We start from the raw sequence: 21,878 nt of genomic DNA, 5'->3' as shown, positions 1-21,878 counted from the left end.
CTTAGCTTATTGTAACTTTTCTACTTTATCTCTTTTATAATAACAGTTGGCTTAAAACACAAATACACTGACCACCTGTACAAAAATATTTTTTCTTTATATCCTTATTTGATAAGCTTTTTCTGTTTTTAAGAATTTTTTTTCTTTTTACTTTTAAAATGTTTCTTGTTAAAAACTAAGATGCAACACACACATTAGCCTAGGTCTACAAAGGGTTGGGATCATCAATATCACTGTCTTCCACCTCCACATCTTGTCCCACTGGAAGGTCTTCAGGGGCAATAACACACATGGAGCTGTCATCTCCTGTGATAACAACACCTTCTTCTGGAATAGCTCCTGAAGGACCTGCCTGAGGCTGTTTTACAGTTAACTATTTTTTATATAAGTAGAAGGAATCTACTCTAAAATAATAGTAAAAAGTATAGTATAGTAAACACATAAGCCAGTAACATAATTATTATCATTATTGAGTATTCTGTGCCATATATAATTGTATGTGCTAGAGATTTTTTTTTTTTGAGATGGAGTCTTGCTCTGTTGCCCAGGCTGGAGTGCAGTGGCACAATCTCAGCTCATTGCAAGCTCGGCTCACTGCAAGCTCCGCCTCCCGGGTTCACACCATTCTCCTGCCTCAGCCTCCCAAGCAGCTGGGACTACAGGCGCCCGCCACCACGCCCGGCTAATTTTTTGTATTTTTAGTAGAGATAGGGTTTCACCGTGTCAGCCAGGATGGCCTCGATCTCCTGACCTTGTGATCCGCCCGCGTCGGCCTCCCAAAGTGCTGGGATTGCAGGCGTGAGCCACCACGCCCGGCCTAGACTTTTATATAACTGGCAGCTCAGTAGGCTTGTTTACACCAGCTCACAACAAACACATGAGTAATGTGTTTTGCTACAATGTTGACAGTTACGTCACTTGGCAATAGGAATTATTCAGCTCCATTATAATCTTATGGGGCCACCATTGTAGATGCCATCCATGGTTGATCCAAATGTTATTAAGGGGTGCATGACGGCACTACTGCCAGCTGGTATTCATTGGCTCATTCTCTGTGCCAGGAATTCTGGTAGGCACTTTACATGCATGATTACATCTCATCTTCACCATCCCATGAGGCAGGTGCTATGATTGACCCCTATATTCACCTGCCCAACTTCATAAGCTAATAATTGTTAGGATTCTGATTTCAATCCCAGAACAGTCTGATTTCACGCTGTTTCATAGGCTCTTTACACCTTTCCATGTGGCCTTGTAAAACATAATCATTATGACAAAGAGCTTACCTTCCTTGGTGAGTTGGAGCTGGGTGGCATTTTTGGAGCTGCTTTTAGGTGTGTCCTCTGAATCTCTGGCTGTGGCTTTGCCTTTTACAGATTTGTGACTCTTCTCAACTTCACGGAGCTGCAGGAAATAATGAACTGTTGGTCCTGGCCCAGGAAATGGGTCTTTGAGGCTCAGAGGTGTTGAGAGTGATTTTTTTTTTTTTTGAGACAGAGTCTCACTCTGTTGCCCAGGCTGGAGTGCAGCGGCGTGAACTCGGCTCACTGCAATCTCTGCCTCCTGGGTTCAAGCGATTCTCCTGCCCTCAGCCTCTCGAGTAGCTGGGATTACAGGTGTGTGCCACCACACCTGGCTAATTTTTGTATTTTTAGTAGAGACGGGTTCACCATGTTAGCCCAGCTGGTCTTCAACTCCTGACTTGAGGTGATCCACCGGCCTCGGCCTCACAAAGTGCTGGGATTACAGGCGTGAGCCACCATGCCCGGCCTGTTTTCAGTTCTTGGTGTCTATCTTAAACTGCCTGTTACTGGTCCTCACAACTGATTGGAGAGGGCAGCCTGAGGCTCTCAGATTCACATAGCAATTGAAGGAACATGTGGCCAGAGGACAGCGATCTTTCCAATCCTCTATTTCAGTGGTTTTCTGTACCTGGGCAGGAGCCCAGTGAGATTAACAGAAGAAGGGGCTGGGCACGGTGGCTCACGCCTATAATCCCAGCACTTTGGGAGACCAAGGCAGGCGGATCACGAGGTCAAGATATGGTGACCATCCTGGCTCACATGTACTAAAAATACAAAAATTAGCTGGGTGTGGTGGTGCATGCACGCCTGTAGTCCCAGCTACTTGGGAGGCTGAGGCAGGAGAATCACTTGAACCTGGGAGGTGGAGGTTGCAGTGAGCTGGGATCGTGCCACTGCACTCCAGCCTGGTGACAGAGCGAGACTCCATCTTAAAACAAACAAACAAACAAACAAAAAACCAGAAGAAGGTGTGGACGGGGGGACCAGTAGCAAGACAGATGAAATTCACTCCAGAAGAGGGACAGAGAAAGCAAGAACAGGGCTTAGGGAGGGTTAGGGTCTGAATTTTAGGGTGTGTGCGTGTGTGTGTGTGTGTGTGTGTGTGTGTGTGTGTAGACAGCAGTCAGAAGTAGGGTGTCAGCTGGGATGTTGAGAGAGGCTTCCCATGTGTGAAGGGGACTCAGGAGATCTTTTAGGCTAAAGGGCACAAGAAATACGTGATTTTGACAACATTTCTTTTAGTATTTAAATATTCACTTTAACCTGTAGGAGTTATTGTGGATACTGGCTTTTTCTGTATGAGCATTGGCTGAACTCACTGAATTTCTCCTGTTCTTTAGTAACCCCTTGAAATTTAAGTCATTATTGTCACAAATCACCAAATAGCCTCAATAATATAAATGCATGCTGTTGAATCTCACAAGGCTACTTCCCATAATACAGATATTTTGGGATTTGGTTTAGAAGAAAGCCATTTAGATAACACAGCTGGGCTCACACAGCAAATTAGCAAAAACCAAAAACATGATCTCTTTTTACCGTCCAGGATGAAACTCCCAACAGACTCACCACTTGGATTTTCTTCCTCAGCTGGGCATTAGCTCGGGAAAGGCTTTTGGAAACTGAGTTCAGGTAGTAAATGGCCAAGCTGCAAGAGAAAAGCATGCCTCCTATGGTCCCGTGATCTTGGCAGATGATAGGAGCTGGGCGCCTTTCTTGGGGAATCAGGGCAGGATTCCTGGAATAGTTACTGAGGCTTTGGGTGGGTGTCCTACCATCTTCTTTTCTCAATGTGGAGAAGGTCCTGGATGCCCCTGCATCCTCTCTATTTTATTATGCGTGGGCATAACTACATAGCTCTAGCTCTGCGAGTGCTCAGTAAAGGTTGGCTGGAGGAATCATCCCTCTTCTGGGAAATCTGAGGTGGCCAGAGGGTGGCAGGGTTTACTGACTGCAGAAGAAGCTGGTCACGTTTCCTGGGCACCTGCCCTGTGCCAAGCTCTGTGCCATGTGCACAATCCACCCCCACCCCACCCCATCTCATTGGCTTTGATGAAAATGCCATGAAGCAGAGAGTAGACTTCTATGTTTAAAGGCCTGGGTCCTGGGACTCAGTGAGGTTAAATAATTTGCCAAGGTCATCCCACCCATGAGTACTCTTTGCAGCCCACATTGGAAACCAACACTTTTTCTACAGTTTTCAAACCCTGAGAGGGGGAGGTGGAGGTGTTAAGAGACCTAAGTTTGCCGAAGAAGCACAATTGCAGATGCTCTGAAGCCTCCTGCTCAGAGTGCCCTAGCATGTCTGGCCCTGACCTTATGGGTTTTAGAGTCCAGCCCCCATTGGCTCACTAGGTGATCGGGTGTCCTTTGAGGCTGCAGCCCAGGCTTTCTTTTCACAGGTCCTAAGGTCTGGGGTTATGACCTGGACTGTACTACACAGGACACACAAAAGCCAGACTGCCACCTGGAGTGGATGCTTTGCCAGCCTATTATCTGCTAGCTTTTTATGTCCATCCTTATTAGTAGTTTTTCTCCATGACTTTCAAGCTCAGCTGCTCCAGCTTTGGTCTCTGGAACCTTCCCCCTCAGGGCTAGGCCATCCATAACTGCCTCAATAGAGCCTGTGAGCCCTCTCCAGTCAGAGAAGAGGAGCCCCATGGTCTTTGGGGCAGAGTGTAGGTCAGAGGCTGTCAAGTGAGCCTTCTGAAGCAAGGATTCAGAGATTCAGAGAACTATAGGTGAGGGGAGGAGAGAATAAAGGACAGGTGAAGAGACCAATTTCTGTTATGTAAGGCATTACTCTGGGCCAGTCCTTGCCATTTACCTAATTAGCCCATTTTTTTAAGGGAGGAATCAGAGGTCAGAGGCCAGAGAGGTAACTTGTCTGGCTCAAGATCACAGACCCAGCAAATGGTGGATAAAATGCTCATGGGTGGCTATGTACCTCCCAAGGTTGTTTCCAAATTTAGCATTTCTCCTTGGTGCCTTCAGGGTCAGGTTTGGTGTCTGGCTTTCAGAATTTCCCCAGGAGGGCACAAGGCAATCCAGATTGTCACTATCATGTCATCCCTGTCATGCCAGCAGCAGAGGAAATTTGAAATCAAGGATATAAAACAACACACAAGTGTTTGCTGTTGGCAATGACAGTATTCAGGGCACAGAGCAGATCTTCAAGAATGGGTGTTACATGAATAGATGAACAAATGAAAGGATTCTACATTCACTCTGGCCCCCTTAGGGTCCTGGAATCTCTGTGAGTCTATGTTCATTTTGAGTAAGCTACCAGAGAGGGTGCTGAAGGAGAGGCGCCATTGCAGAGTGTGGAGCTCCAGTTCCCCTCCAGGCTGGCAGCCTTTGAGCAGCGGGCAGGAAACTGACCACAGCGTTGGGGGAGGCCGGCTTCATCAGACTATCCTGTAGCTGAAGAGAGCCCTGATGAGGAGCAGCCATTTCTTGAAATACTTTTTGGGAATTTCAAAGCATAAACAGACAGAGACAAACAGATACATCTAAGGAACAACAAAGATGATAGTCAAAGAGGGAAGGTTTTAACAAAGTCTTTAAGCCCATCCAAGGCTAAAGTTCAATCCAGATGTCAGCAAAATTGGCAAAGACTTCTGAAAATCCTCTCTTCCTTAAAAGCAGTGAGAATGCCAGCCAAAATTGTCAGAATCAAATTTTTTCAGAACTCAAAATTAACCAAAGGTTTGCAGCAGATCTAGGGAGTACCTTTTCAAGGAAAACAGCTAAATTCCAGCAAGAACAGTGAGTTCTGCAGCATCTAAGTTGCCTTATATCCCCTCCCCTACCCAGTTCTGTAGTAGGTTTGGAAACCAACAGCACCAAATTTTGGTGAAAATCAGTAGCCTGGCAGTCACTGGAGGAGGTAGAATGGATTTGGAGCACCTTAAAATCCTCAGACCCAGAGAACTGTCATTATTTGATTTATCCAGTGGTTGATACTACTCACAAGGCTATCTTTATTTGACCTGGCTCAAAGCCCAATCAGTGTGAACTTTTTCTCTGAGATTGGCAAAAGCAATCAGAGGCAATTGTTGAACATCACGGCTGTGAGAAGTGTTGCATAACAGTTGGGGCAAACAATAGGCTAACCAAAAAGTTTAAAAGGAGAACTGGGGAATGGGATGTCCAATGGGGGCTTTAAAACACTTTGAAATATTCCTGGGAATCTATAGAGAACTGTGTGCATGATGTGTAAGGCTCTGTGCCTGTCCAGGGCTGTTTATGTGTCCAAGAAAGACTTGAGAAGGCCCTGAGCTCTCACCTCTGGTAACCTTGAGTCTCTGAACAAGCAGTCAGTGACAGCTAAGGTAGAGTTGTAAACTGCCTGGTTGAATGTTGAAGGCATACCCCAATACATACACAGAGCCTGTTGGGAAATACTGGGAGTCTTACTGGTTCCAGACATGTAAGAAAATCTCTTTCCAGTCAGTAGGTGTCTACTAAGCTAACTGAGCACAGACTTTAGTGGCCACACACAACAAAGAAAACAGACTTTACATAATTAGTTCAGAAAAGTTATTAAACAACAATAACGACAACAATTATAACAACAAACAGCAACAACAACAAACCCATGGAAGGGAGGCGAACCTGATTTCCATGGCTGCCATATAATACTATTTAAGATATCCAGTTTTCAGCAAAAACTAGTAAGACATGGCTGGGTGCAGTGGCTCACGCCTGTAATCCCAGCACTTTGGGAGGCTGAGGCGGGTGAATCACAAAGTCAGGAGTTCGAGACCAGCCTGGCCAACATGGGGAAACCCCATTTCTACTAAAAATACAAAAAATTAGCTGGGCATAGTGGCGGGCGCCTGTAATCCCAGCTACTCGGGAGGCTGGGGCAGGAGAATTGCTTGAGCCCAGGAGGTGGAGGTTGCAGTGAGCCAAGATCTCGCCACTGCATTCCAGCCTGGGCAACAGAGTGAGACTCTGTAAAAAAACAAAAACAAAAACAAAAAACCCCAAAAATCTAGTAAGACATACAAAGAAAAAAGAAAGCCTGGCCCATACACAGGGGGAAAAGTAGTCAATAGAAACCATTCCTGAGGAAACCTTGATGCTGTATTTAAGAGACAAAGACTTTAAATCAGTTATGTTAAATATGATCAAAGAATATGATCAAAGAACGATACAAAACCATTTCTAAAGAACTGAAAGTATCAAAATGATGTCTCACCAAATAAAGAATATTAGCAAAAAGAAATAAATAAAATAACCAAATAGAAATTCTGGAGTTGAAATCTACAATAACTGAAATAATAAATTTTCTGGAGGTGCTCAACATATCTGAGATGACAGAAGAAAGAACCAGCCTGGCCAACATAGTGAAACCCATCTCTACTAAAAATACACAAATTAGCTAGGTGTGGTGGCACATGCCGGTAATCCCAGCTACTCGACAGGCTGAGGCAGGAGAATCGCTGGAACCTGGGAGGTGGAGGCTGCAGTGAGCTGAGATCATGCCACTGCACTCTAGCCTGGGTGACAGAGTGAGACACCATCTCGAAAAAAAAAAAAAAGAATCAATGAACTTGAAAATAGATCAGTTGAGATTATCCAGTCTGAGGAACAGAAAGAAAAAAGAATGAGGTAAAATAACACAGCCTATGGGACAACAGCAAATGTATCAACACATGCCTAATGGGAATCTGAGGAGGAGAGGAAAGACAGAAAGGGTCAGAAAGAATATTTGAATAAATAATGGCTATTTTTAATCAGATTTCATCCCCAAATATGATGAAAAAATATTAATTTACACAGGAAGCTCAACAAATTCCATGCAGGATAAACTCAAAGAGATCTAGTCCTAGACATATCATAGCAAATTGAAAAAAAAAACAGCCATAGTCAAAGAGAGAATCCAGAAAGAGAGAAACAAATAATCATATACAAGAAAGCCTCAGAAAGATTAACAGTCAATTGTTTTTTCATATAAACCATGGAGGCCAAATGGCAGTGGGATGACATATTTGAAAGATTGAAAGAGAAAGACTATCAACCAAAAATTCTAAATCCAGCAAAACTGTTCTTCAAGAATGAAGGAGAAATTAAGTCATTCCCAGATAAAAACCAAGAGAAGTAATCACTAGCAGACCTACTCTGTAAGAAATGCTAGAGGGAGCTCTTTAGGTTAAAACGAAAGGACACTAGACAGTAACTTGAATCTACATGAAGAAATAAAGAGCACTAGTAAAGGTAACTACATGGGTTAACATGAAAGCTAGTATCAATGTAGTCTTTGTAGCTCTTTTTTCTCCTGTCTTATTCAGTTGGCATAAAATGTATAAAGATGTAATTTGTGTGGCAGAAACAACCTGAAGGAGAGTGGAGGGAATGGAGTTGTACAGGGACAAGGTTTTTGTATACTATTATAATTAAGTTGGTATTAATTCAAAGTAGTTTGTTATATTAATTATAATCTCCAGGGCAATCACTGAGAAAATAACTAAAACAAAATATAGTTAGAGAAATGACGTGGGAACTAAAATTATGTACTAAAATATTTAACCCAAAAGAAAGCAGTAATAGAGGAATAAAATAACAAAAATACATAAGACATATAGAAAACAGCAGACATAAATGTTAACTTATTGGTAATTAAATGTAAATGAATCAAACACTCCATATAAAAAGCACAGATTGACAGAATGGATAAACACTATGCTTCAGCTATATGCTTTTCCAAAGAAGCACACTATATTTTATTTCATTTATTTATTTAGAGAGAAGGTCTCAGTCTGTCACCCAGGGTGGAATGCAGTGGTACAAACATGGTTCACTGCAGCCTCAACCTTTTCAGTTCAAGCAATCCTCCACCTTTGTCGCCTCCCAAGTAGCTGGAACTACAGGCATGTGCCACCACACTCAGTTAATTTTTAAAGTTTTTGTAGAGATGGGTCTTGCCATGTTGCCCAGGCTGATATCAAACTCCTGGGCTCAAGCAATCTTCCTGCCTCAGCCTCCCAAAGTGCTGGTATTACCAGCATGAGCCACCACACCCAGCCAAAAAATGCACACTTCAGATTTTTAAGGTAATAGTAGATTGAAAGTAAAAGGATGGGAAACACATTAAGACAAAAATTGTTAGAGACAAATAGGATTATTTTGTAATTGTAAAAGGGTCATTTCATCAAGAAAATGTAATAAGTAAAAACATATATGCACCTAACAACACAGCCTTAAAACATACGAAGCAAAAACAGAATTTAAGGGAGAGATAATGGACAATCCAATAATAATAGCTGGAAATTCAATGCTTTACTTTCAGTAATAGAAACAATTAGAAGGTCAACAAGAAAATAGTAGACTTGAACAACTCTAAAAGTTCTATCCAATGCAATCGACTCCTTTTCCTGAGCCTTGAATTTATCAAGGCTCAAGTTCAAGATTTATTGTCTTCTACAATCCTAATTCCTTCTTCTTCTAAATATTTTTTGGACTTATTATTTGTCATTATTTTTAAGTCTTACTGATTAGGTGTTTTAAGTTCAGTGTCAAAGCATATTTGAAAGTGGTTCCTTATTGTCTGCATTAGGGATCAGCAAACTTTTTCTGCAGAGGGCCAGGCAATAAATATTTTAGTCTTTCTAGACAATACATTCCTTATCACAACAAGTAAATTCTGTCTTTTTCTGTGAAAAACAGTCATAGATAATAAATAAATGAATGAGCATGAATATGTTCCAATAAAACTTTATTTAACAAAATCAAGTGTGGTCCGGATTTAGCTTGTGGACTACAGTTTGATGACCCCTGGTCTACACCAAAGGAAAAAGATTCTGGCTTAGATAGCCATTATACAGGCTGTTTACTGCATAAAAGGCACCTGACTAAGGGGGTGACTGCTGGCTGAAATCTATCCATATTCTGTTTGTCAAATGTGCCCCTTGGCATGGGCCTACCTCCGTCTGAAGGAGTGGGCACCTTTAAAAAATTTGCACAAGGTACTATATGGGCTAGTAATGGCCCTAAATTCACCACCACCTTTTGAGGTCACTTTTTTTTTTTTTTTTTTACTTCTGTAAGAAATCAATAATTAGAAAAGTTACTCCACTTTCCTAATTATTGATTTCTTATACCTATGTTACAATGACTTACATTCCCTGGTTGTTTTCTTCCTTATTTCATGAATATACTTATCTCAACTCTCCAAAAAAGCAGTACTGTGCTTAACTGAAAACATTAAAAGCACTCCCCACCCTGTAAATGCAGGAAAAATACAAAAATATATTTCATCACCAAATATTAATTAACTTGTTTTTCCCATGGAAGGTACTAATTAATCCTACAGAGAAAAAAAGAGATCTAAGAATTAAATAAAATATAACATTTTCATTGTTTACAAATGAGAAAATGACCTGGAAGATTCAAGAACTTTGGTTGAGTAAATATGATAAACAATACACTCATAGGGTGACTGTATTAGCCTGTTTTCTTTTTTTTGAGATGGAGTCTCACTCTGTCGCCCAGGCTGGAGTACAGTGGCGCGATCTCGGCTCACTGCAAGCTCCGCCTCCCGGGTTCACGCCATTCTCCTGCCTCAGCCTCCCGAGTAGCTGGGACCACAGGCGCCCGCCACCACGCCCGGCTAATTTTTTGTGTTTTTAGTAGAGACGGGGTTTCACCGTGTTAGCCAGGATGGTCTCGATCTCCTGACCTCGTGATCTGCCCGCCTCGGCCTCCCAAAGTGCTGGGATTACAGGCATGAGCCACTGTGCCCGGCCTTATTAGCCTGTTTTCATACTGCTATAAAGAACTACCCAAGACTGAGTAATTTATAAAGGAAAGAGATTTAATTGACTCACTGTTCAGCATGGCTGGTGAGGCCTCAGGAAACTTACAGGTGGAAGGTGAAGGGGAAGCAAGGCACCTTCTTCACAAAGTGGCGGGAAGGAGAAGTGCCGAGCAAAGTGGGAAGAGCCCCTTATAAAACCATCAGATCTTGTGAGAACTCACTCACTATCACAAGAACGGCACGGGGGGAACTGCCTCCATGAACCAATTACCTCCACTTGGCCCCGCCCTTGAAATGTGGGGATTATGGGGATTACAATTCAAGATGAAATGTGGATGGGGGCACAAAGCCTAACTATATCAGTGACTGAATACAAAATTTATATATAGAAAATAAATAACATTTACATAGAAAAACAAAAACTAGTTAGAAAGTATGATGAAAGAGCTATCCTAATTTATCATAACAAAAAGAGAAATGCAGAGGAATACATTTAATAAGAAATGTGCATGAAATTTATGAAGAAAACTTAAAAATATTGAGAGACATAAATGAAAAAATGATAAGGAATACAGTATTCTTGGATTGGAAAACTTAACAACATAGGTGTGCCAATTCTTTCTGGATTTTTTTTTTTTTTTTGAGACAGAGTCTCGCTCTTTTGCCCAGGCTGGAGTGCAGTGGCATGATCTTGGCTCACTGCAACCTCTGCCTCCTGGGTTCAAGCAATTCTCCTACCTCAGTCTCTCAAGTAGCTGGGATTACAGGCACACACCACCACAGCTGGCTTATTTTTGTATTTTTAGTAGACATGGGGTTTCACCATGCCGGCCAGGCTGGTCTCAAACTCCTGACCTCAGGTGATCTGCCCACCTCGGCCTCCCAAAGTATTGGGATTACAGGTGTGAGCCACCATGCTCGGCCTTCTTTCTGAATTCTAATAAAAATGATCACAGATTATTTTTGTTGTTGTTTTGGTGCTAGGGAGCCTGCCTCTGTGGAAAATCAAATGAAGAAAGAAAAGACTTCTTTTTCTGGTCTTGACTAAGGGACTTGTATTGGTCCAGCTCTCCAGAGAAAAACAACTGTAAATGCTGAGCAAAATTTACAAAACTGTAGTTTAAGACATGGGAGAGTGACAGGCAGACTAAAGGGACTTGATGCTTGAGAGAAGGGAAGCATGTGAGGTGAGCTCCACATTCCTCCAGGGTTTCTCCCTGAGAGTATTTTCCAATTTGTGACCCAGAAGCAGAGTCCAAGCAGAAAGTGGAAATCTTACAATGTGGAGAAGATGCAGGTCAGAGTTAATTACTGCCACAGTCTTTGGGACTTGAGGGGCAGAATCCCAGAGAAGAACAAATTGCAGATAAATAAGCCAAACTCTGTGTACAAATTGCCCTCAAATGATTGACCAATTCTTCAATTGCTTCAGGAAGCCCAGAAGAAAATGACACCAGAGAGGCTGAAGAGCAGAGCAGAGATTTCACAGTGGCTGTAGCAGTACTACTGGAGAAAAAGAATAAGCAAAGACGGAAGAATTGGGAAAAGAGAGAATGGGTTTTAAGCCCTGCCAAGGTGGAGGGTGGTGGAGGCCAAAAGAATGAGGGTCGTGATCAACTCAGTATACGACTGGAGGCTATATGAGTAAACAGCAAGCTGTTCTCATGAATGCAGGATGTTGGCAAGCTGACAACTATGTCGGCACCCAGAAGGAATGCTGAGGGCAGTCACGCCCCAGGCACAGTGTTTCTTGTGGTTAGGCACATCTGAGGCCTGTTAGCAATGATGTGAACCCGTGATCAATCAAACAGCTGACCAATCGTTACCTCCTCCTCCCTGCTCTTTCTACCCAATAAATACGAAGGGCTGTAGAAGCTCAGGGCTGCAGAAGCTCAGGGCTGCCTTTGCTCACTAGAAGCAAGGAGTCCCCTGACCCGTTCTTTAAAACAAATCCTTTTTTTCTTTGTCTTCATTTCTGTGTTCGTCCTACTTCGTTCAGTCCCGTAGTAACTGTCACAGGAGGGAATTGGTAAACACTGTAGGCTTTCAGTTGAGACCCCTAAAAGACTGTGCTCAATAGTAAGGATCACATTGTAGGAGTAAGGTCAGTGTCTTGGAAATAGGGCAAAACTGAAATAAATCAGCCCTGAGAAAGCCCAAAGCTAGCAATAGCAAACTATTTTCCAAAGATGGCCACAATACTATGACTCCTGTCTTACATGTGCTTCTAGAATCTTGTCATTGCCTCATCAAAAGATAAGTCTATATTTCTTTCTCTTGAACCTGGGTATCCCTTTGTGATTGCTTCAATAGAGTATGGCAGGAGTAAGTAAAGATGCCATGTATATCCACTGCATTCTCTTGGGATGCTTGCTCCTGAAACTCAGCCACCATACTATGAGGAAGCCCAAGCAGCTTGTGAGAAGGAAGTGAGGCCTCCAGTGCCAGCTGGCCAGTCATGTGAGTGACCATCTTGAAAGTGGGCCCTCCAGCCTCCAGCTGAGCTGACCCAGATGATGTTGAGTAGAGAGGAAAAGAATGATTCCTGCTAAGTCCTACCCAAATTGCAGATTCATTAATAAAATATTATTTTTCAGTTTTGGGGGTTGTTTCTTATGTAATAATAGATAGCTAAAACATCAAGTCTTGACAGGATTAAGTGATCTCCTAGTATTCCATTTGCCCTTCAGGAAAAAAAACCCATCCCTTTGGGGAAAGATAACATTATTCACAGCCTCTATAATTTTTCATCCACATGTCTGACATCTAGTAAAAATTACATGCCATGATAAAAGTAGGGCTGAGGATAAACAAGAGGAAAACAAATGACAACAAAAATACACCCAGGTGGTTCAGATATTGGAATATCAGACTGGGATTTTAAAAGTAATTATAACCACTATGTTCAAGAAAATAGAAAGCTGGAGAATTTCACCGGAGAGTTGGAATTTATAAATAACAGTCCAAAGGGAATACAACCACTTTGGAGAGCAATTCTGTAAGATCTAAAAAGATTGAAGAAACACATGCTGATGACCCACAATTCTGCTTCTAGATGTCTACCTTAGAGCAACTCTCAGAATTGTGCAAGGAGATATATACAAAATGTTGGCTGGAGCGCAGTTTGCAATAGCCGAAAAGTGGAAACAGCCTAACTATCCCTATGCAGAGGAATGGATAAACTGTGGCTTATTCATGAGATGGAACATAGTAGAGCCTTCAAACATGTGCTCATGTATCCGCATGGATAAATCCCCCAACATAATGTTGTTTGAGGAAAAGCATGTAATGTGAGTCATTCATGAAAAGGTTTAAAACTCCGGAAACAGTACTATACACACATGTGATTAAAAAGTACAAAATATGCATGGAAATAATTAAATCTAGTCTGTATAATAGTTACCTTTGGGGAGGGAGGAAGAAAGAAGGATTGAGTGGGGCTTGAAGTGCATCTGTAATGTTTTATTTCTATTACGAAGAAAGATAAACCTGAAGTAAATATTGCAAAATGTTAACATCTGTTGAATCTTGTGATCGTGTACATGGTTGTCTGTACTCATTTGTATGCTGGGAATATTTCATAATTTTTAAAAAAGCATGCCAAAATAAGATTTTTTTAAATAAAGAAAAAATGCTAACATTTTTACTAGCACATTTTTTGATGGCAACAATTCCAATCCAAGACTCTGGCTTCCTGCCTTTCTTCCCTAGTTCTTTCCTTGAGCATTTACTGTTTGCCTGCTATGCTCTAGGCATTAGGCTGGCACCGGGGATACAGAGATTTTCGAACTTGTTCTCTAATGGTTGTTGAGGGGGACAGTGATGAAGGAACCAGCTTGTTCCAGTGTATAAGCTGCTCCATCGAGTAGTGCTGTGGGCCCAGCCAGGATCAGGCCGAATCACCGTTCAGCTTCCTGATAGGCTCAGAGCCCACAGGACTTTGATATTTCTAGTGAGCATTTTAGTGGGAGTTGTTGCAGATACTGTCAGGGCTCACCCAAATTTTCAGTGTGCTCCAAAAGACTTGCACTTGCTGGTGCCCTCATCTCTGTTACCAGAAGCTTCCCTTCCCTCTTGGACCCCTCACTCACACCCCTTGAAGCCATTTTACCCATGAATGACGCTGGGAGCTGGTCTATAAATGCCTCGGATCCTTTGCCCTTAGGGAGGGCTGAGTCTGAGGCACACTGCCTCCCAGAATTCTCACAGTGATAACCATGCATTTTCCTTTCCCTTCCTTGTCTCAAGTCCTCACCCCCTCCCTAATAAAATACTTACACTTGAATCCTTGTCATGGATTCTGCTTCTGGGGAGTGCAGACTAAGAAGGCAAGATGAAAAGGACCTGCCAAGGAAGTCTCAAATTCAAGGAGAAGTTTCCGTGGGGTGGAGCCATGGGTCCTGGCTAACTTACAACATCAGCAGGATGGCTGGGATGATCAGGCCTGGATTGGCGAGGAAAGCAAAGATCTTGCCCAGGAAGGTTGGGAAATCGTTTTCAATGGTCTCTTGGAGGACATCGTACATTCTGTTTTTCCCACTGGAAAAAGGAGAGGACACAATATAACATGCTGCCATGTGCCTGTGGCATTCACAGCTGTGTCCATGGCCCCCCTACCCAGGTCCAGGGCTGCTGCCTGCCACTGCTTTCCTGGAAGAACCAGAGCTCTGCTCCAAATGAACTGCAAGTAAAAAATTCCCCCTGAGGGGCTGCCATTCTGGCTAGGGTGACAGCTGGGTCGGCACACGGCTCACCGGCTTTCTATCCTAAGTAACTTACAACCTCTTAGCCTTCACTGGTCTTTTGTGTCTGACACCTTCCTCAGCCAGAAAAAAATGGTTTTCCTCATGTATTCTAACTGGAGAAATTGTCTGTGTTTGTAGCTACCAGGCCAACATGGAGCTTCCTTTGGGCCTGGGAAACAGTTCTGCAGAAGCTGATGTGCTGGACAACCTGAGTGTCTCTCAGAAATACCTAGAATTAACCTTCAGATTTTAAGTCTAGGAGATATTGGATCACCTAGGACAGGCTCCTGGACAGTTCACAACTGTAATTTTTATTTTCTTCAAATACCTAAGAACCATTATGCAGATTTACTTCTACAAATGCTGGCCCAGAGACTCCTGGATGCTGCTGGCTCTTGGTTGATAATTTTGGTGCCAAGAGGTGGAATACGGGGTTTGAAATTCCTGGTTTAAATCCTTGATCCCCCATTTATCACTGGTGAGACACGTGGACAATTATTCTCTCTCTCTCTGTCTTTTTTTTTTTTTTGATGGAGTCTCACTCTGACACCCAGGCTTGAGTGCAGTGGCACAATTTCAGCTCACTGCAACCTCCACCCCCGGATTCAAGCAATTCTCCTGCCTCAGCCTTTCAAGTAACTGGGATTACAGGTGAGCGCCACCACGCCTGCCTAATTTTTTGTATTTTTAGTAGAGATGGTGTTTCACCATGTTGGCCAGGCTGCTCTCAAACTTCTGACCTCAAATGATCCGCCCACCTCAGCCTCCCAAAGTGCTGGGATTACAGGCGTGAACCACTGTGCCCGGCCTGACAATTATTCTCTTTCTGCTTGTATTCATATCATGCCCTGGTTCTCCCCACGAAAGCTGTGCTGTCTGATGTGGCTATTAAAAATAAAAATTAAGATGAAGTCAAATTTGAAATTCAGTTTCTTAGTTACACATTTCAAGTGCTTAATAGTCATATGATTAGTAGCTGCTGTGTTAGAAATGCAGATATGGAATGTTTTCATCATTACAGTAAGTTCTATTGGATGTTCAATATCTGCAGAAGTTCAATACCTTTGGGCAAGGTATTGAAAATTTCTCTGCCCCAGTTTCCCCATCTGTATAATGTAGTATAATAATACTATAGTATAATATGGTATTTTAAGTATAATAATTGTATTTATCTCAGAAGATTGTTTAGAGGATATAGATGAGAATTGATATAAAACATTGAGTGTAGTGCTGTTAAGTTATAAGCGCCCTTCAAAATTTTGCAGCTAAACATTTTCTGTGTAAAGTATAGATGAGGAGTTCACCGACAATGGCTCATGGACAAATTCAGCTTGTTACCTGTTTTCTTTTTCTTTCTTTTCTTTTCTTTCTTTCTTTTTTTTTTGAGACAGAGTCTCTCTCTGTCGTCCAGGCTGGAGTGCAGTGGTGCAATCTCAGCTCACTGCAACCTCTGCCTCTGGGTTTCAAGCAATTCTCCTGTCTCAGCCTCCAGAGTTTACACACAATGCCTGGTGGATTACAGGCAGGCACCACTACGCCCGGCTAATTTTTGTATTTTTAGTAGAGACGGGGTTTCGCCATGTTGGCCAGGCTGGTCTTGAACTCCTGACCTCAGGTGATCCACCTGCTTTGGCCTCCCAAAGTACTGGGATTACAGGTGTGAGCCACTGCGCCTAGTCTGTCACCTGTTTTCATATGGTCTGTGAGCTAAGAATCATTTTTACATTTTTAAGTAGTTGAAAGCAAGTCAAAACAGGAATACTATTTTGTGACATGTAAAAATTGAAGTATAAAATTAAAATTTTAGTGTCTGTAAATAAAGTATTATTGGAACACAGCCATGCTCACTCATTTTTTGTGCTATAATGACAGGGAAGAGCAGTTGTGTCAGAGACCATTTGTGGCCATCTCATTGCTTACAACTGTTGCCCAGCACACCACAAATTGCAATGACGCAGTTATAGCATGATGGCATTTCAAGTGCCAGGCACATCACTGTATGACAATGTTTCATTTATTATTATTATTATTTTTATTTCCAGTGCATACCCGCCATGTACAAATGAGAAAAGTTAAGTTTACGTGTTAGGCTTTTATGTGACAGTTGAATGTAGATTATTTTGTCGTTGAATTAGATGGTGTATCAGATTCTAGTGCCTGCTGTTTGTCACGCTGGTGGCTTAAAACAATACAAATTTAATATCTTACAGTTCTGGAGGCCAGAAGTCTGAAAGGGATTCACTGGGTTGAAACTAACCTGGGGCAGGCATAGGATAACAGTTATAAACTTTCCAATACCAAAAAGGAGAAAATGGAAGGAAGAAAGAATCACCAACCTCAAGCAATTTTGAAATCCAATCAGCCAAGCTCCATTAGGGGTTTTATTTTTTATTTTTTGAGACAGAGTCTTGCTCGTTGCCCAGTCTGGAGTGCAGTGGCATGATTTCGGCTCACTGCAACCTCTGCCTCCCGGGTTCAAGTGATTCTCCTGCCTCAGCCTTGCGAGTAGCTGGAATTATAGGCACTTGCCACCACGCCTGGCTAGTTTTTGTATTTTTAGTAGAGATGGGGTTTCTCCATGTTCAAAACCAACAGCACAGAATCTTTAAATCTCTGCCTGCTTCTATGGTCACATCACCTTCTATTTTTCTGTAGTCAAATCTCCCTCCCTCTCCTTCCTTTTTTTTTTTTTTTGTTGTTGTTGAGATGGAGTCTCACCCTGTTGCCCAGTCTGGAGTGTAGTGGCATGATCTTGGCTCACTGCAACCTCCACCTCCCGGGTTCAAGCGATTCTCCTGCCTCAGCCTCCCGAGTAGCTGGGATTACAGGCACGCACCACCACACCTGGCTAATTTTTTGTATCTTTAGTAGAAACGGGGTTTCACCATGTTGGCCAGGCTGGTCTTGAACTCCTGATCTCGTGATCTGCCCGCCTCAGCCTCCCAAAGTTGTGGGATTACAGGCGTGAGCCACTGCACCCGGCCTCCCTCCTTCTTATAAGAACACTTGTGACTTAGGGCCCACCTGGCTAATCCATGATGATATCCCCATCTCAAGATTCTAGGAACTAGAAAATGAGTTATTTACTCTCAAAAATAAAATGGTGGGACAGGCATAGGATAAAAGTTGTAAACACTCCATTACCAAAAGGGAGAAAATGGAAGGAAGAAAGGAATCACCAGTTCCAAGCAATTTTGAAATCCAATCAGCCAAGCTCCATTAAGTTTTAAAGTCCTGAGAATAATCCTCTGGGCTGCAGACTCTGCCCTACTGTGCCCATAGCTTTGCCCTTGTGGGTTCACAGTTCTGCCCTTGGAAGAACACTTCCACCCTTCCTTCTTCTTGAAGGATAGCACATGTCTCAGCTGAGTAAATTTTATCAGTCTGTTTCCCGCCACAGAATTCTGGGAGGCCAATGATCTGCCTTTATTTTGTCTTCTTTCTGTTTCTTTCAGTCCAAGTTGGTAATGTTTCCGCTGATATAATATTGTCAAAAACTGTGTGAGTTTTTCATGTATGTCATGAGAATGTACTCTGTTAAAGAAGAGAGTCCCACATGATCTTTTCTGGATAATCCTATTTCTATTCCTGACTTCTGATGTGATGGTTGAGGCGATGCATTAGTCACACGATTAGTCAGAGTTTTCTGTGTGAATGATATTCAGACCTTTTGATCTTTCAGAAACACTAGCAAAAGGTTATCCAGACTCACTCTTGGCTTTCTTTTTACAGCACATTCTCATGACAGTGAATCTAGTTTTAGCATATTTTGCAATCTAGATAAGGCTGAGAATTTCCAGAATCATCAAATCCTGGTACTTTCTTGTTTATCAGTTACTTACTCAACATACCTCTTTCCTTGCACATTTTCTATAAGCAGCATGAAGAAACCAGGCTGTACCTTCAATACTTTGCTTGGGAATCTCTTCAGCTAAATACCCAAGTTCTGTTTTTTTCTTCTCTTCTCTTTTCTTTTTTTCTTTTTTGAAGCAGAGCCTTGCTATGTTGCCCAGGCTGGAGTGCAGTGGTGCAATCATGGCTTATTGCAACTTCCACCTCCTGGGATCAAGCAATCCTCCCACCTCAGCCTCCCAAGTAGCTGGGACTACAGGCACGTACCACCATGCCTGGCTAGCCAAGTTCCTTTCTTATAAGTTCAGTTTTCCATACAACTGTAGGAGATGGTTCTTATCATAGTATAATTGTCCCTGCTGACCTCCTACCCAGTGACAGATGGGAAGCTGAGAAAAAGGGGGCTGGCATTTGCACCCAGGGCCCAGCCCTCCAAACCTTGCTTAGGAAGAAGCCAACAGAGGCTTCTTCCATTCGGTTCTCCTTTCAGCCTGGCTAAATCTTAGGCCATCTGCACTTCAGCACATTCCTTCTGTTCTAGACTGATCCCCTCCTTCTGTGTGAACACTGTTTTCCAGATCACACCCTGCTGGAACACTCCTGCTAACATCCCTGGGCTCCAACCATCACAGGCCTTTATCTAGTAAAGTCCTTTATGAACTGAGAAAGACCGGATCAGCATTTCTCAAAGTGTGTTTGTGCGGGACATGAGTGACTTTATTTTACATGCTAATCTGCCTTGTAACTTCTAACTAACCCTGAGTCTGAGAGTGCCTCCCACATGACTAGCAGATGTATTACTCTTTATGTAGGAACTCTTATTCCTACATAAAGTTTCCTCCAAAACAACCCTTGATGCTGCTGCAGAAATCACAGGCTGTGATGTTCAGAGCCACCTATACATTCCTTCCAGAGCACGCATACTTTCCCCAAGATAGAAGCCCTGGGCCTGGGGGATTGAGGTGTGGAGATCTACCTGTCTCACGGCTGCTTGTGACCATGCATCTGACTGTAAGTTACCCCTAATAAATCACCCAAAGCCGACAAACTGCATTTGTCTCCTTCCTCCTTTGGATTCTAGGCTCTTTGGGCATTTAGGGGCTGTTTTGCATATACGACCCTTTTACGGGACAGGGTTTCTCCTCATTGGCAGGCAGGGTTGGGACTAGAGTGAGGCGGGTGAGGCCCTGAGTGCACAATTTAAGGAAGTAATGCCCTCAGGGTTGCTCATGTGCAGTGTAGGGCGTCACTCACCTGCCTCACCCTATTTCCAGCCCTGGATGAGTGATCCATGCAGAAAGGGTTCTGTGGTCAATAAGGACGGAGACACTAGCTTACAGGTGTTACCTCATTGCATGATTCTTCAGAGCCTTTAACAAAGGAGTGTGCATTGAGCATTTCTAAGTGAGATAATGGCAGACAGAAGGGGCAGTACGTCCTAAACTGCTTTAACCACAGAACCTCTCTTTACGGAGTTGGCAGAGGGCTTTGTTTTCAGAAGGTCAGGCATTTGGAAAGAGAACAGTAGATGCACATTATCTCTTGATCTACCTCCTTACATAATTATTTGTCTTTTTATACAATATCTAGTCTCCCAACTAGCTTGACTTATGTATTGAACCCCCAGGCCAATGCTCTGGAGAGCAGAGAGCTCAGTTGAGGTCTGTCAAGAGTCCACTGCAGCTGCTTCACATTTAAACGGCACGTGTAAGTGTATGGTAATTCATCCTCAGAATATCCACCATTACTTATCCTATGGTAAAGTAATCCCAGGTAGTAAGTTATCCATGTGTTAAAAGGGTAGAACTGTGCTGTCGAATATGGTAGCCATTAGCCATGTGTGGTTATTTTAATTGAAATTAAGAACGAAATCCTGTCATTTGCAGCAACATGGATGGAACAGGAAGTCATTATGTTAAGTGAAATAAGCCAGGCACAGAAAGACAAATATTGCATTTTCTTACTCACATGTGGGAGCTAAAAAAGTGGATCTCATGGAGGTAGAGAGTAGAATGAGGTGATCAGAGGTTGGGAAGGATAGAGAGGAGTGGGGATGAAGTACGGTTGGTTAACTGGTACAAATATACAGTTAGATAGAGGGAAGAAGTCCCAGTGTTCCATAGCACAGCAGGGAGATGACAGTTAACAATAATTCATTGTATAATTTCAAAGTTCCCAACACAAAGAAAAGATAAATGTTTAGGCCAGGCACGGTGGCTCACGCCTGTAATCATAACACTTTGGGAGGCCGAGGCAAGTGGATTGTTTGAGGCCAGGAGTTCAAGGCCAGCCTGGGCAACATGGCAAAACCCCGTCTCTACTAAAAATACAAAAATTAGTTGGGCATTGTGGTGCATGCCTGTAGTCCCAGCTACTTGGGAGGTGGAGGCATGAGAATCGCTTGAACCTGGCAGGCAGAGGTTGCAGTAAGCTGAGATGGCACCACTGCACTCCAGCCTGGGTGACAGAGTGAGACTCTGTCTAAAAAGAATAAAAAATAAATGTTTGATGTGATGGATATCCCAGTTACCCTGATTTGATCATTATATATTGTATACATGTATCCAAATATCACATGTACCCCCAAATATGTACAACTATCAGTTAAAAATTAATAAATAAATGAGAAAAATACATGAGAAATTAATTTTCTCAGTTCCTCATTTCAAGCACTCAACGGCCACAGGTGGCTGGTGGCTACTGAAATGAACAGCGCAGACACAGAACGACCTAACATTTCCATCCTGGCAGAAAACCCTCTTAAATGGCATCGGTGATTCACCCAAAGTTCCATGGCCTTTTACAGGCTGGCATGAAACCAGAACTGGAATTCTGGGCCGAGGCCCTCTGAGCAGACTGCCTCGGGAGGGGAGGTGCTCCCGGGCAACTGAGACTCTGCACCTGAACGGCCCGCAGTCAAAGGAGGGTGGGAGGGACATGATGGTGTAGGCCACCGGCAGGAGGCTGAGGAAGAGCACCAGCAGCAGGAGGCCCATGTAGAAGTTGTTGGATCGGGAGGCTTTGAACACGCGTTCATGGGGTACGTTGCTGCTCATCACCGCCCAGCACTGGAAGTACATGGAGGTCAGCAGGCGCAGCACATTAATGCCCACCAGGCCTGGAGCATAGAAGGAGCCCATCCTGGAATGGCAGAAACCAAACACCTGGTTGGCTGGACAGCAGGGAAGGCGAGGGAAGGGTGATAGAAGGAAA

General features: G+C 43.0%; 1 protein-coding gene and 1 long non-coding RNA gene across 3 annotated transcripts in view; one reads left to right on the top strand and one right to left on the bottom strand.

Annotated features, from left to right (window-relative positions):
* Window positions 1-21,878, bottom strand: part of TMC2 (transmembrane channel like 2) — a 107,008-nt gene that overhangs the window by 4,703 nt on the left and 80,427 nt on the right. For both annotated transcript variants that reach the window (NM_080751.3, XM_005260660.5), the window contains 4 exons: window positions 21,567-21,806; window positions 14,482-14,607; window positions 2,874-2,952; window positions 1,287-1,404 (listed from right to left, as the gene is read on the bottom strand). In NM_080751.3, the coding sequence (NP_542789.2) occupies window positions 1,287-1,404; window positions 2,874-2,952; window positions 14,482-14,607; window positions 21,567-21,806 (563 nt within the window). The remainder of the gene's footprint in view (window positions 1-1,286; window positions 1,405-2,873; window positions 2,953-14,481; window positions 14,608-21,566; window positions 21,807-21,878) is intronic.
* Window positions 1-21,878, top strand: part of LOC105372505 (uncharacterized) — a 38,419-nt gene that overhangs the window by 13,587 nt on the left and 2,954 nt on the right. Inside the window, exons 3-4 of the long non-coding RNA XR_007067502.1 lie at window positions 19,579-19,676; window positions 20,293-20,372. This is a non-coding gene — a long non-coding RNA (uncharacterized LOC105372505). The remainder of the gene's footprint in view (window positions 1-19,578; window positions 19,677-20,292; window positions 20,373-21,878) is intronic.

This window comes from Homo sapiens, chromosome 20, assembly GCF_000001405.40.
Source record: "Homo sapiens chromosome 20, GRCh38.p14 Primary Assembly".
Taxonomy (NCBI): Eukaryota; Metazoa; Chordata; class Mammalia; order Primates; family Hominidae; genus Homo; species Homo sapiens.
Note: the sequence above shows the minus strand (reverse complement) of the source record. Positions and strands in the feature narration are given on the sequence as shown.